The sequence below is a fragment of the Homo sapiens genome, chromosome 1 (genome assembly GCF_000001405.40).
Source record: "Homo sapiens chromosome 1, GRCh38.p14 Primary Assembly".
Classification (NCBI taxonomy): domain Eukaryota; kingdom Metazoa; phylum Chordata; class Mammalia; order Primates; family Hominidae; genus Homo; species Homo sapiens.
The window spans coordinates 201,734,554-201,749,566 of NC_000001.11; the positions used below are offsets into that span (position 1 = coordinate 201,734,554).

The window sequence follows — 15,013 nt, forward strand, 5'->3', positions numbered from 1 at the left end:
TACATTGTATGAGGTTTCATTTGTGTTTCCCAGAGATTTGGGATCCAAATTAGCAACGGAGAACCACTGGAGTGCAGTGGCATGGGTGCTTAAGCTGATCTGAAATGATTGCTCCTGGCCTCTCGAGGTGGAGGGTTTGTACACACACAAACACACACACACTCACACACACCCTGGCATCTGCCCAGTGACCCCAGGTGAGGGTCCATCAGGCCCTTACTGGAGAGACAGCCCCTCTCCCCTACCCCTTCCTATGGTCCTCTGTCTCATGTTCTCAGAAGCACACAAAGCCACTGATGTGTTGGGATACTGGAAGCAAGATAATCAGCTAGGATTACTGAGACGGTAGCTCACTATACAAGATCTGGAGGGTCTACCCTCTCTCCTGCCCCTCCCAACTGTGGGGTGGTGAGAAAGGCAGGTCTCCTCGAAGGTTATATAAATATTTGTTGAACAGTAACACAGCTGGGAGCAGGACCCCTTCCTCCAGCTGTCTGATTTGCTGCCCCAGAGAAATCTCAGCTGGGATTAGGGCTGAGCTCTGGAACACTCCACTGTGCATCTGCTGACCCCCAGTGCCCCCAGTTCAAACTCTCCCATCTACCTTCCAAACCTGTCAATCTGAGCCCCACACCAGGGAGGGAGTTGGCAAGAAGTGGTGCCATTGACTGGTAAAAAGAAGCCTGCCCCAGGAATCAAGACACCTGGATTGTGTGGAAGGATCTTGAGCTAGTCACTTGCCCTGTCTGGGCCTAATTTTCTCCTCTGTGAAAATGAGCGGTTTGAACTAGATGCTCTCTAAAGTCCTTTTTGGCTCAAACGTTCTGGATTTTCTGACCACATGAACTGGGTCTGATCCAGGGTACCTGGCATTTCCTGCAGGAAGGGCCTGGAGGTTGAGGAGGAAAGACAGCAGCCATGCTGGTCTAGGAAAGGAGAGAAGCGCCCCACATTCATGCATGAGGAACTCTGGAAGACACAGGCATTGCTAATGGTAAAGAAATCCATTGCCTGGACCTGGACCCAATGTCACTGTGGCTTCTAAACCTGTGGCCAAACAAGGCCACTCTATTATTAATCTTTCTTGCTGTTAATGTTCTAAAGCAAGTATAATAGTACCTGCCTCACCTTAGATCACTAGGTTATTTGAAAATAGAATAAACTCATGGATGTGAAAATGCTTTGAAAACTTCTACACAGAGACTGGAAATTATTTTCTTAGACATCTGTCAAGGTCACGACAGATGATTCCCTCAGGATTCAGTAGGGTCATTGGGGGATCTGGGAGCAGGTTTTTGAAAGCTGGGATTAAGGATGTGGCCAGGTAATTCCCCATTGATCCTGCCACAGTATGGAAAGGGTTAATTCACTGAAGTCCCTCTCCCAATTCCTTTCTCTTTCCTTTCCCTGCCCCTCCATTCTGGTTTAATTCTTTCTCTTTTTAATCACTCTGCTGTAAAATGCCCATTGTCCTGCTTCTGCCACTATGCTATCAACTAGGCCTGGCTAGGATGCAGAGGAGTCACAGGCCCAGCTATCACCCACAGGCCCAGAGGGACATTCTCTGACTGGCCAAAACTTGTTCAAGGACAGGCTTTTCCATCTGAGGAATGAAATAGCCTTATGATTGATGGGAACGAGAAGACATGAGGGCAGGTCAGTGGACAGAGTTGTGGATACCTACCTTGGGACCCTAATCCTCTCAAGGGTCTCATTTCTGGGGCTCACCAGGAAATCGGGTATGTGATCAGGCCCCAGACAGGTGACCCTGGAACCCAGAAACCCACAAGCAAGCAACACTGGAATTTAGAGCACACCAAACTGCTTCTCAAGTCTTTCCCTTTTTTTCTTACCCCATTCTAACCAACCACATCAACCTCTGAGATTATTGTCCAGGAGACAAGGAGAGCCTCCCATAAACTATCTTTCGATGTCTCTGTTGGAAATGAAACTTCAGCCAAAAGAACCTTGGGCCTCAGCCAAGGTGACTCCAGAGATCCTTTGAGGTGGGGAAGGTGTGGGAAGGAAGAGAGAATTACCCCCTCCCAGGAATCTGGCTGAGGGACCTCATGCATATTAGCCTGCATTCTGCCCTCTGCTTTGGACATTTCCTGGACTTTCTATGCCTCAGTTTCCCCCTTGTAAAGAGCTGCTGTGAGAGTGCTGGCACGGGAGACAAATGAGATCATGGCTCCTAAGGGCTTTTTGAAGAGAAGCCCCACAGGAGCACAGAGGAAGCCTATGTGAGATAGACAGGCCTTTTTCCTCTCTCCCTCTTTGGCTGGGTTTTCTTTCTGGACAAGTGCCTGACTCCCAGCTCCCTTTCAGCAGGTGTCATCCTCCTCTACCATGTGTCCCTCCGCTGCCCCCCACTCCCTGCACCCCAGGCTACAGTCATGCTCAGAGTCACCCCTTCATTGCCCATCCCCCACCCTCCACCTCCACTGTAGTCAAGACAACCGTGCCACCATATCCCTTCCACTCTGCCACACCCTCATGACAGGCAAGGTCAGGGCCCCTTCAAGCGCAGAAGCTCCCCATTGACAGGGGAGGCTGTGTTTTCATATTTTCACAAAAAACTCCCAGACAACATTTCTCTTCAGTGCTGCTGCCAATTACCCAAAGTGCCCTGACCTGAAAATAGCAGGTGCTAATTTGCATGTTACTTATTTAAGTAGCAACGCTTCTGGGATCCTGCTCCTTCCCCTATAAAAGCTCACCATAACCTCCACGAAGCAGTAAGGTAGACACTACTGTGGGACTTACCGTCCTCATCAAGAAGGAAAGAGGAACTTATAGCAGGAAACTTGCCTTCTGTTGGGTTCTGGCAGCTCAGGAATCAATCCCAAGAAGGAGGTGATTTAGAGACCCTATACCCCAGAATGTTCAGTGGGGACTCAGCTGAGAGCCTCTCCCCTGAGCTGAGCTACTGGCTGAGACTTGTTCTCTTTATGGTTTGCTCCTCCAGTCCCTGTGTGAGGTGAGACACACAGGGAGGAGGGTGGAAGGAAGGGTGGGCAGGCCTCCAGGTATGAGGATGAGGGATGGAGCCACATGGTCTCTGGGGGGCTGCGAGGGAATGTTCAGGAACAGCTCAGCTCCATGCACAAGACCCCTGTCCCTCCAAGTAAACCCCTGTGCCTACCCCTTTCAGGCCTCAGATCTCCCTCCTTCCAGGCCCTCCCTGCTGAGAAAACCACAAAGGAGGAAACCTTATGGAAAGCTTACAGCTAGATCTGGAGAAAAACATCCCCTGCTGATGACATTCCTTTGGCTGAGACAAAGTCATTTTACTCAGGATTCCATGCTGGCTGAGGCTAAAGAGAATCCCTTATGGCACGTCACTGTAAGCTGTTCCCCAGATGACCCAGGCCAGCTCCAGCACAGCTGCGTGGACAGAGCCTCCCTAGAGAACTCATTGTGCTCACCCCGTTTCGGGTGGTGGTGAGGATGGGAGGCTCAGGACATTACCAGAACAGGAGAGCCAGGATAGGGCTTGGCCAGGGACATCATCCTGGAATGAAATGGAAGAATATGTGAGAGAGAACCGTCTGCCTTGCTCTGATTCCCCCTCAGAGCTGGTCTGCTTGGGAGCTGGTGCATCTTTTCTAAGTCTTACTACCCAAACCTCTTAGAACAGAGTAAAGGGAATAAAAATCTGTCTGCCCCCCATGCTAGGGGGAAGTCTGAGGGATTGGCGCTAGGATCACTGCAGCTCTTTACTCCCCTTTGATCTCAAAGCATATTTGGAAAACTTGGCCACAATGTGCAACCTCAGAAACAAAGACCCTTCCTCCAACTTAAACTGTTCCATTCTCCAGAAACAGAGGTCCCTCTGCTGAGGTTTTCTGTCCTCTAAGAACTGTGGTTCATCACTCTAGAGCTGCAGCCCCAGGTCAGTGGCATTGGGCAGCCAGAGTAGTAGGGGCAGAGGGGCTGTACAGTTACCCAAAGTGCATTGACCTGTGGGCCGAAAATAGTAGGGGCAGCCTGCATTGCTGGGGGGCTTGGGAAAGGATTGTTCCTAGGACTCAAAGCACCACCCAGACCTCTTTAAAGGCAGTGAGAGCGAGGAGGAGGAGTTCAGGAGTGCAAACCTCTCCCTTAACATCTGTAAAAACTGAGGCCTGGAAAGATAGGCTTAAGAGAACACATGTGACCTGGATCTGTATGTGTGGCTCAGTCACATCAAACTGCCCAAACACTAGAGACTACTGCTCTGTGGTCCCAAGTCATCTTAGTTCAGCACTTTAGGGGGCTTAAAAAAATGCTACTGTTGTTTTTGTCGCTTAAAGAAACTGCAGGTATAATTTGTCCATCTCTAAAATGTAGGCTTCCCAGTTTGCCCAGTTCACATTGGCATTGGGACCCAACCATAGACACTTAGCCCCTTCCAGGAGCCAAGAGTGAGAACTGGAGGAAGCAAGGGTGAGGGCAGCAGGCTAATTCCCCCCACAGGGCTCCTTTCTCTGGAACCAGGAGAGTGAAGTTACCAGGAGGACCCTCAGGGGGGAGGAACCCAATGGGAGGACCCTGCTACTGGATCCCACTGTTTTTTTCCTAACCGGTCAGTTGAAAATGCATCCTGGATAAAGACACAGATCCTTGGGTGGCGTGAGCTGTTGTTTCTCTCCCACAATCTTCCCCCAGCAAGCACACCTCACCTAATCTGTGGTCTCCTGAATGCTGGAGAGATGTTAGGCCCCACCCCCTGAGGTTGTTAGGACATCGGAAGGTCGCGCCATCCTACTTGGCTCCCGGCTGTGAGCAGAAGGGTCGTGAGCCAACCTGTGGTAATATGCACCCCTATCGGACCTTCGTTTCCCACCACATCCCTCCACGGACCTTGTTTTAGGCAATGCACTGACCCATGCTCCGATTTTTAGAAATTTCTAAAAGCCTGGAAAGGAGCCAGGAGGAGGCCGGGAGGAAGCCCTCTATGGAGAAGGTTCTGCCCAGGCCTCCCCAACTCCTTACCCACCCGTGCCCCAGAGAGAAGTGGCTCGCTGCTCACACCCCCTCCTGCCAGTGCAGCGCGAGTAAGAGCGCCCAAGGGACCACAGCTGGCATCCCAGGGGTTAATTTCGGAGCAGCCCAGGTGGAGGTCGAGCCCCCAGCCCCGTCGGCACCTCCAGGCTTCCGAGGCCACCGGAACGGAGGAGGCTTCGGTGGCTCTTTGTCTACCTGCTCTGGGTGTTAAAGAGCCCGCTCGCAGCCTGCATCGCCGGGGCTCGGGACAGAAGTCAGCGGCGGGGAAATGGGGCTCTGTCACTTTAAGTACAGCTGGAGCCGTAAGTACAAGCCCTGGTGGTGGGGAGAAAAGGGAGCGGAGGGCAGGCGAGGGTTAGGTTTCCGACCCTCCGCGTGGCCCACAGCTCATACCTTTTCGGGTGTCCCCGGGTGTCAGGCGAGAGCGGTCCTGGGGGGCGCTGGGTGCCCACCCGGTGAATGGCCGCCTGAGCCGGGGAAGATGCTTCATCTGCCCCTGCCCAGATCCGGAAGAACGGTGAATTTCCCCCGCAGGTAAGCGCCCCCACCCCCCTGGCCTCACCGCCAGACCGCAGAGCTGGGGTCGGGTTTGTGGCACCCCCAGCCCCGCCGCAGCCCCCCAGTTCCGCCGCAGCTGCAGTCTCAGGGGCAGTGGGTGTGGGGTCCGCAAGAAGGAGGGTCTTGGCCGCGCTCGCTTTTCCGCCAGAGAGGAGTGCCTGCGCCGCCGGAGCCTCCGAGCTCCTGGACGTTTGGCTTACGGGCATCTGGGGCTGGGAGTGGGTGTGTGGAGGGCTCTAGGGAGTGGAAAGGGAAGGAAAGGAGCTTAGGCGCCCAGGAGACCTGGACGGAGCTGAGACAATAGCGCAACTTGATTGAACTTCGATGGTTGCGGCTGTGGCGCGTGGGGGCCCGGCCTGTGAGGGTCGGGGGTCCTGGGGACCAGGCGGGTGGAAGGAGGAGGGGCTTGCAGCCCCAGGTCGGCCCTGCCAAGGTCACCCTAGTTCCGGAAGCTCCGGGGGTCGTCCTGGGGTGAAAGGAGGTGGTGGGAGGCGGAAGGATGAAACGGGGGAGGGAGGGGACGTTGAATTTGTGACCGTACTGCTGGCTGGATACTTCCGAGAGAGAGTGAAGCCTGGTGCTCTACCCTGGGAAGGGGTGAAAAATCGGAGAGCCGGGTAATTTGGGGAGACGCACAGTGAGGGACTGGTCGTGTAAGGTGAGGGCAAGGCACAGAGGCTCCTTCATAAAGGGGAAGTGAGTGTAACCACAGCTGGCCCTGGGACTCTCTGAGCTGACTTGGAAACTGCACTTCCAAGGGAGAATTAGGAAATTCCACCGGCCTGAGAAAGGGGGCTGGGGTTTCTGGGATTTTTTAGCGGGGTGGGCAGGGGAGGCTTCCCATCTCACTATTCTCACCCCATATACACTCTCCTTCCCCTCAGCCTCCCGCAGACCTGGGAAGTTGGAGGTTGGGCCCTATGCCTGGTGCTGTGGCCACTCCCACCTCAAATCTCAGGCAGCCCAGACCTGCACCCTGTAACATGCTCCTGCGTCCTCATATTGCTCGAAGGGAGCCCCAAGTACCCTCCAGGGGCTCAATTACAACTGTGCACACAAAGGTCTAGGGTAAAAGCAAAGAATTGGGCAAGGCCTGAAACGAGAGGCATCTTCTGCCTCCGTTCCTGCCCTGCAAGACCATGGGCACCAGGAGCCCCTTGGAAGCCAGAGGCCCGCTGACTCCAAACTTTTTTCCCCTACCACAGTATGACAGAATGCAGCCCTGAAGCCCCCCTGGAATGTGACTTGGGTCCTTGGGGTCACTTTGCCAAAATGGCTGGTAGGTATGGTGGTGTCATAAAAGGAACCAGTTTATGAGCAGAGAATAAACCCATGTAGGGACCTCTTACTTCAGGTGAGATCCTGGGCTGAGTCCTGGACAGCTCACTGGGCCCTGGAGAAGGTGAAGGGAAGGAACTGTTCATAACCTCCTCTCCTCCCTCCACCTCTGCCACCCCAACTAGAGCCTACTTCAGATCCACATAGGGTGTGCCCAAGGAAAATTATAATTGCCACCCAAACAATATTTGCACTGCCTCTACTCTTAAATTCTTTGCTTCCCCAATGCCTGGAGGGTGTGCAAGTCCTCTAAGTGACCCCAATGCCCTTTCTCTGAGCCTATCACTCTTTCCTTCCTACTCAACAGCCTTTCTAGGCTACCTCATTCTTTCTTTTGAATTGATATTCTCCCCGCCTCCTTCCTTTACCCAACTCCATCTCATGGGAACCTGCCCTTATAAAGAGAGCTTAGTGCCCTATCCTGGGGCCATAGCTATTGAATACTCACCTAGCTCATTACCAGAAACAGACTTCTGGGCAGGTGTGCCAGGGCGGGTACCTGTCTGCCATAGCCCAGGTTGAGGAGCAGGTCATGTTACACCTACCCAGCCTACTAGGGTGGAGCTGGGTTAGGCCTGTGGTTTCCTTTCCATCCAAGCCCAAGACTTTCAGGTCAATTGCTATTGGTAGGCAAGGAGACAGGGGATGTTGTAAAGTGGAGGTCATTCCTCGAATTGCCACACTTCACATATAAAATTTAACTAGCCTGGCTCCAATTCACAGAGGGGGAGCTTAGCCCAAGCCTTTGCTCTGGGGAGGGCTCAAAACTTTCCCTGTAAATGATGTTAGGCTGAGGCCAGCAGGGATCAAAGAGATGCTTACCCTCCAGAATCAGGTTTCCCTTAAACTCCAAAGGAGGCAGCACTGGGAAGATGTGAGGGTATTTGGGTGAATGACTTAATTGGCCCTCAGGTATCTCCATGACCAGCTCTTGATGAGTGAGCTGTGATCAGTCCATGGCCTCTTCATTGTTTCAGAGCAGATGTATTTCTTCTCTGGATGCCTGGGATTCTTCCATCTATCATGGAAGCCTGTGCCCACAAGCACTGTTCTTGCGTATCTCAAACATTATGGTCTCTCCTGGAGACTCCTTCTCTTCCTGTCCCAGCAAACACTGTTCTTCAGTGTCTTCCAAGCATGAAGTCCAGGCATCTATCCCATTCAGCACTCCTAGACTCCCTCCTGGAAAGAACCCTTAGCTAGAGCCTGGGGATCAGTGGGAACAAGACTCGCTCACTACGGTTGCCTCACTCAACCCACAGAGACTCCCTGGGGCAGAGGGCTTCGGCTTGGCACAAACTCAGCCTCTGTGAGAGGACAGAATACCTAGGGACAGCCAAGCCAATGAGCTGCTTCTCGTTAGAGGATTTTATGGGACTAGGCACACACACCGCAGGCAAACCACACTTGCTGGATTAACCTCTTCCTGCAAAGCCCCTGCCCTGAGCTTGGGAGGAATGAGGGAGGGACTTAATCAGCAGAAGGCATCTTAATAGGGGGGACAGTCCGTGTCTAACATCTCAGCTAATCACCTTTTCTCATTTTAACATGAGGCTGTAAAACACAAGCCATACTAAGTGCTTTGTAACCATTTTTTCATTTAATCTTCACAACAACCGTATGAGGTATATATTATTATCATCCCATTTCACAGATGAAGAAACTGAGGCACAAGGAGGTTAAGTAAGCATACTAAAGATCACAGTAGTGGGATTTGTCCTCATACCTAGGTCTGTCTGACTCTAAAGCCAACCCCTAACTACTATGCTATAAGGAGACTATTCTTACCAATACCAGTTGAGGCCCCAGGAGTACTAAATGCTGAAGATGCAGAAGTTGAGAGTAATTGGAGGACTCAGCAAAGGTTTAGAGTTGGCCTGCGACTTTAGTTGGAATGAGGTGAAAATTATAATTGCCACCCAACCAGTGGGGAGTGGGAAGATTACTAAACTTGGAGTCAGCTGACCTGATTTAGAACTCACTCCACTACTAATTAGCTTTGTGACCTTACAGAGATTGCATAGCCTCTAGCCTCAGTTTTCCTCTCTATAAAATGGGTATAGCTCCTGACTGATCTACCTTACTGGGATGTAATGACAATGAGAAAATGTGAAGAGCAGAATGCTTTAAACATGTGGGCTTTGATAAGTGGAATTATGACCACGTGAAGTCATTCCCAGAAGCAAGAGTCTCTCCCAAATTCTTTAGATTTTTTTTTTAGCATCTTTTTCTTCCGTCTTACTAGGACTCTAATGAGGATGCCTATGAGTATAATACATGGAACAGTTCCCAGCTTAGAATATATCTCTGATTTTTACTTAAATTCGTCATTGCCCATATTCAGGTTTCTATTCAGTCCAAATTATATGCTAATGAGGATGGCATATTTATACATTCCTGGTTCGGATAGCAATTTACATAAAAATAGACCACTTTTTAAAACTTAAAAGATGATTTTTTTTGTTTTTTTGAGATGGAGTTTCGAGCCCAGGCTGGAGTGCAATGGCATGATCTCAGCTCACCGCAATGTGTGCCTCCCAGATTCAAGCGATTCTCCTGCCTCAGCCTCCCGAGTAGCTGGGATTGCAGGCATGCACCACCATGCCCAGCTAATTTTGTATTTTTAGTAGAGATGGGGTATCTCTATGTTGGTCAGGCTGGTCTGAACTTCTGACCTCAGGTGATCCACCCGCCTCGTCCTCCCAAAGTGCTGGGATTACAGGCATGAGCCACCACACCCGGTCAAAACATGATTTTTTTAAAAAGCAATTTTGTTCATTTAACCTTTCCTCCCTGACAACTTTGTGCCAGCCACTATGCTGGGTGCTGGAGAAACAGACAAAACCCTAAGGAGCTGACGGCTATGTATGTATGTATGTATTTATTTATTTATTTATTTATTTATTTATTCATTCATTCATTCAACAAACTCTAATGAGCACTTCCCAGATGCCAGGCAAAGTTCTGGGTACTGGCGATAGAATAGTGAGCAGTAAGGCAGACCGTAGTCCCTGCATTTAGGAGCTATGTTTTCTTACAATGAAAACAGATCAATCAATGTTAGCCAATACTTTAAATATATTATTTCAAACCATGAGAAATATGAGAGGGGATAATGCAGGAGGATGCAGTCTGGTTGAGGAGGCAGAAGGCAGCAAGTAACTGTGATACCAGGTCATATGTGCAGTAACTGAAAGCCAGCAAGCAGGGGCCATACTTTGAGTGGTCCTGGAGAGCTTCCTAGAGGAGGCAGCATTTTCTTTAGGGCTTTGAAGAGAAACTAAGAGTTTTCCAGAGGGACAAGAGCTTATTTGAGGAAAGAGGGGGAAGTTTTTCCCAATTGAGAGGTTCTGTGTCATCTTCCAACTTCTCTGCCTAGACCCATCATCACTGTGCCTTCATCAGTCACACAGACTTCATATCTAAGACAGAATCCTCTGAGACAAACAACTGAATGAATTTTTCACTGCTATCTGGAGGAATCCTATCTGGAGGTCTTTGATAGTGCCACTGGCTTGTTTGCTCTGGACCTGGGTGTCAGTGTCAGCTCACGTTTAGTTCATGGAATAATAGACTGTCTTTCAGCTGTCCTTGCCCTTGCCATTGAAGCAGAATCGAATAATTCTACACTTGTGGAGCATGTGTAGGATGTGAGAATTCATCCTCAGCCTAACTTTCTTGGGATGCTTCAGGAATTTCCTAGAAATGCTCAATTCTTGGACGTTTACATCTTAGGAAACCTTTATCCCATAAAGGCTCTGACTCATGATTGGGTAAGAAATATTGAAAAAGAAAGAATATCAAATATCCCTCCCACACACATGCATATGTACACACATACAAAACAGTCTGGCCACTGGTCCTTAAGTATTGAGCATAATCAAGGAATGCTTGATGTAACCCATGGACTTACAAAGGATATATAGCAAGTATGAATTTCCTCACGAACCAGTTTTCCTACTTAGTGTATTGTTGCAGGTGCCATTCGAATAATGGATGAGTTATTCAAAAGAGGGGAGAAGAGGAAAGTTGTGTACCCACCTCTGATTTCCTGGGTACTGAGCTGGGTGCTTTACAGGTGTTTTCTTTGTTATCTTATTTACTCTGCCAGTTAGCCTGAAAGACTGATGGTGACATGACCATTTTTCTGATGTGTGCATATGTTCAGGGAGGGAAAGTGCCTGTCCTAAGTCAGTCAGTAAGTAGTGGAGCAGAAATTCAAACCCAGCTCTGGCTGGCTATACAGCCACTCCTCCCTAGACTAAATGTAAATCTAAAGAGCTGGGTACTTTCTACAAGCTTGAAAATCAAGTTCCCATTTGGAATGGTCATTTCCTATAAAGAAGAGCTGCTAATGAGGTTCCCCAGCCTCCAGGGAAGTTAATTTTATTGTATTTATTTATTTATTTATTTTGAGAGGGTCTGGCTTTGTCACTCATGTTACAGTTCAGTGGCGCCATCTCCGCTCATTGCCACCTCTGCCTCCCAGCCTCAAGCAATCCTCCCACCTCAGCCTCCAAGCAGCTGGGACTGCAGGTGCATGCCACCATGCTCAGCTAATTTTTTTTTTGTAGAGGCCGGGTTTTGCCGTGTTGTCCAGGCTGTTTTCTAACTCCTGGGCTCAAGCAATCCACCCACCTCAGCCTCCCAAACTGCTGGGACTATGGGTGTGAGCCACCATGCCTAGTCTTGCTTTTAGACATATCTATATATATTTTCCCCATATTTACTCATCATATGGTGATAGTTTTGTCCAATTATAAGTTTCTAGGGGCCAGGGGATTTTATCCAAGTGCAGCATATGTGGAACTTAGTAATGATCTTTTGATGATGACAAAAAATAGCTGATAGGATACCACTGTAAGAGCTAATATAGCTGTACAGCTTTGGACATACCATATTTATGCTGTGTCATGTCACACACAGAGCCCTTCAGATTAGGTTAAATCATGTCACCTGAAACATAACAGGTACATAAAATGGAAGCAAATCCACCAGCAAGTATTTATTCATTGCCTACTATGTGCCAAGAAATTCTGTTAATCACTAAAAACATAACAAAAGACAACCTATTCCCATTCCACACTATGATTAACTTGTAATAGAATTGGATATTTAACAGTTATTGGGGAATAACAGTAGCTGGAAATAGGAAGCAAGCAAGTCAGAAATGTAAGGGAAGATTTATGCCCAGGTCAAGGAGCAGCACGTTAGGAGCGCAGTGAGTGTGGGAAACTCATGGAAGTTCAAATGTAGACTGCATCAAAATTTGGAGAGAATGACCAGGTGCAGTGTCTCGTGCCTGTAATCCCAGCACTTTGGGAGGCTGAGGCAGGTGGATCGCTTGAGCCTAGGAGTTTAAGACCAGCCTGGGAAACATGGGGAAACCTCCATCTCTACAAAAAAATACAAAAAATTAGCCGAGCCTGGTGGCACACGCCTGTAGTTCCAGCTACTCGGGAGGCTGAGATGGGAGGGTCGCTTGAGCCCAGGAGGTCGAGGCTGCAGTGAGCTCCAGTCATGCCAATGCACTCCAGCCTGTGTGACCCTGTCTCAAAAAAAAAAAAAAATGAAGAAATTTGGAGACACTATTCAGGTAGAAGGGAGACTTTCAGGTATGAAGGAGGAAGGAGAAGAACCCTGGGCCTGAGATAAATCTTGAAGAGAATTGATGGGGCAGTGGATCAATAGGTAATGTATAAAGAAATCGGAACATATGGCCCATCCCACTCTGTCATCTTCACCGTCCTCCTGGGCCCCCATTCTCGTGGCTGTGCGGGCAGTTGCCCTAGTGCATGCACACACGGTCCTGCCTGTGTGCATGTGTGCATGTGTGAAACTGTTATTTTTCCGGCTTGGAACATTTTCCCATGGATTATTTTAAATAGTTCTATAAGACTATACTAGACTATCAAGTTTTGATTTTGGTGATCTGCCAACTGTACGATTTTAAAAATAGGTTTTTAACAGCTTTAAAACAGAAGTAGTATTTCTGCCAGCGGGTGGAATTGTGGCTCAAAGGCCCTGAAGGAGAACACATACTTGGGATTTATTCCTGGGTGCCATGGGTTTCTGGAATTTTGCCCCTAGACACAGTGGCGAAGACAGCAGAGGGTGTTCCAGGGTACACATCCTAGACCCTGCTCCTATTTATTCCCTCTGATACGTGGTTGAAAAGCAGTGCTTGAGTGGTTAATCAGATCCCTGGAAATGGATGCCTCACTCTTGTCTGGAAAAAGTTCCCTAATGAAATCTCTTGTTTACATTATGCTACACATTCATGTTCTGGAAGTTTTTGCCACTTCTTCCCATTTCCTATATTATATATGTATTTGGTGCCCATAATTGGTACTGTTTTTCCCCCATTTAAGCTTCTCTCTTCCTAAATTCTAGATAAACATCCTTGTAGTTTCCAGGCCCTGGGTTGCCAACTCAGATTCCCATGCTTGCTGTCACTGAGTGCTTATCTTGGGATCCTTCTTCCAGAACCCAGAGCTCCTTACGTCAACCCCACCGGAATGGGTCCCCAATATATGGGATTCATGCCGAACAACTTTGCAGACACCTTCTAGGCTAGTGTTGAGCTGACCCTGGGGAAGATTGTAGTTGCCTTTCCCTGGAAAGGCGGCTCTCTGAGTGAGAAAACTTCATAAAGACTACTCTTCTCAGTGCTCATAATGTGTTTTGGAATTATTACCTTTGCAGTATATGAGCAGTATGTTAATTTATTAATTTTCCTTGTCCCATTATTAAAAGGGTCCTCCTCTCTCACTCTTATGAATTAAGTGTGAAGGAGGAGGTATATGTAATAACACCAGCTTTTTCACGTGGTTTATAGCAATTGCTTTCATCTTTTATGGGTGCATCTCATGTTTGCCATGATATTTCAAGTTGTTTCTTTTCTGGGGTTCTCATATGGAAATCCCTGGCAAAGCTGTGCTCCTCCAGCATTAGCATGTGTGCAGTGTTTAGAAAGGGAGATGGAATCTGGGCTGCTGCACTGCAGTTACCTCAGCAGGGAACCTACCAGCCTCCACCAAGCTCTACCCCTGGCCTCAGAACCTCAGGGGGCAAAAGTGGCCAGTCACGTCCTCTGTCTGAGAAACTAGCCATGAGTCTCTTGCAGGAGGGAGGAAATCATTGCTTACTCATGCACAACCTGATTTAGGAGCATTCCTGCTATCTGAGAAACTAATTCTGGGAATTTGCACAGAGCTATTCATTGTAAAAGCAGCTTTGATCCCCAGAGAGTCCACAAGACCTTGGAAAAAAATTTACTGTGCCAGGGAGACAGTGGAGCCTATAGGAGCCCCCTAAAGAAGTTGGGACCCTTGGGTTTGGTGTCTGGTTTTGACGTAGTAGTCTGCTCAGGTAAGGCTCTTAGCTACCCCATGTCCCTTTTATAAAGTTGAACTAAGACTCTCTCTGGCCCAGCGTGGTGGTTCACACCTGTAATCCTAGCACTTTGGGAGGCCGAGGCAGGCAGATCACTTGAGGTCAGGAGTTCGAGACCAGCCTGGCCAACATGACGAAACCCAATCTCTACTAAAAATACAAAAATTATCCAGGCATGGTGGCAGGTGACTACAATCCCAGCTACTCGGGAGGCTGAGGCAGGAGAATTGCTTGAAACCGGGAGGCGGAGGTTGCAGTGAGCTGAAATCATGCCACTGCACTCCAGCCTGGGCAACAGAGTGAGACTCCGTTTCAAAAAAAGAAAAAGACTCTCTCTAACTGAGAACAATTCTACCTGCGAAATAATGTCTTAAAGTTAAATAACGCTGGCCATGTGATTTCAGCCCAATGATTCAGCAATAACAATTATTAGCCTCACTTCCTCATCCCCACTTAGCAAAAAAATTCAGAGGTGAAGCAAAGAGAAATATACTGAAAAGCAGCAAAAGTCAGAAGGGGAGCTGTGATGATGTCTTCAGCCTTGTGAATTTCACTTTTGTCTTTCCAAAATGGTTCTGGGCATCAGATAGAGCACAACCCTTGCACCAACTTGCTCACTATTCCCTCTGACTGTGTGCCTTCTGCACACGGAGCACAGGTTGCCAACAGGCTGCTCTCAAATGTGCCTGCATCCTTCTGCTCCACCAATCAAGTTGAATGCTTTCCTAGAATT

At 48.8% G+C, this 15,013-nt stretch overlaps 1 protein-coding gene and 2 long non-coding RNA genes across 11 annotated transcripts in view, besides 3 other annotated features; 1 reads left to right on the forward strand and 2 right to left on the reverse strand.

Moving 5' to 3' along the window:
- The window catches only part of NAV1 (neuron navigator 1), a 287,843-nt gene that overhangs the window by 195,427 nt on the left and 77,403 nt on the right, over positions 1–15,013 (forward strand). For 5 of the 9 annotated variants that reach the window (NM_001389611.1, NM_001167738.2, NM_001389612.1 and 2 more), the window contains exon 1: positions 5,347–5,523. The exons of the other annotated variants lie outside the window; for them this stretch is intronic. In NM_001389611.1, the coding sequence (NP_001376540.1) occupies positions 5,471–5,523 (53 nt within the window). In that variant the 5' untranslated portion in view covers positions 5,347–5,470. Of the gene's footprint in view, positions 1–5,346; positions 5,524–15,013 lie in introns of those variants that run through there. 9 annotated transcript variants of the gene reach the window in all.
- The window catches only part of IPO9-AS1 (IPO9 antisense RNA 1), a 141,304-nt gene that overhangs the window by 46,298 nt on the left and 79,993 nt on the right, over positions 1–15,013 (reverse strand). The window lies entirely within an intron of this gene.
- The window catches only part of LOC124904483 (uncharacterized), a 55,488-nt gene that overhangs the window by 12,499 nt on the left and 27,976 nt on the right, over positions 1–15,013 (reverse strand). The window lies entirely within an intron of this gene.
- Positions 2,742–3,293: an enhancer, noted in NCBI's record as "H3K27ac hESC enhancer chr1:201706423-201706974 (GRCh37/hg19 assembly coordinates)". NCBI's record gives its function as "activates a minimal SCP1, AML or CMV promoter by ChIP-STARR-seq in naive H9 embryonic stem cells {active_cell/tissue: H9 hESC(naive)}" and the evidence as "EXISTENCE:reporter gene assay evidence [ECO:0000049][PMID:30033119]".
- Positions 3,294–3,843: an enhancer, noted in NCBI's record as "H3K27ac hESC enhancer chr1:201706975-201707524 (GRCh37/hg19 assembly coordinates)". NCBI's record gives its function as "activates a minimal SCP1, AML or CMV promoter by ChIP-STARR-seq in naive and primed H9 embryonic stem cells {active_cell/tissue: H9 hESC(naive and primed)}" and the evidence as "EXISTENCE:reporter gene assay evidence [ECO:0000049][PMID:30033119]".
- Positions 6,205–6,304: a silencer, noted in NCBI's record as "silent region_1694". NCBI's record gives its function as "represses an Ori minimal core promoter by ATAC-STARR-seq in GM12878 lymphoblastoid cells {active_cell/tissue: GM12878}" and the evidence as "EXISTENCE:reporter gene assay evidence [ECO:0000049][PMID:35858748]".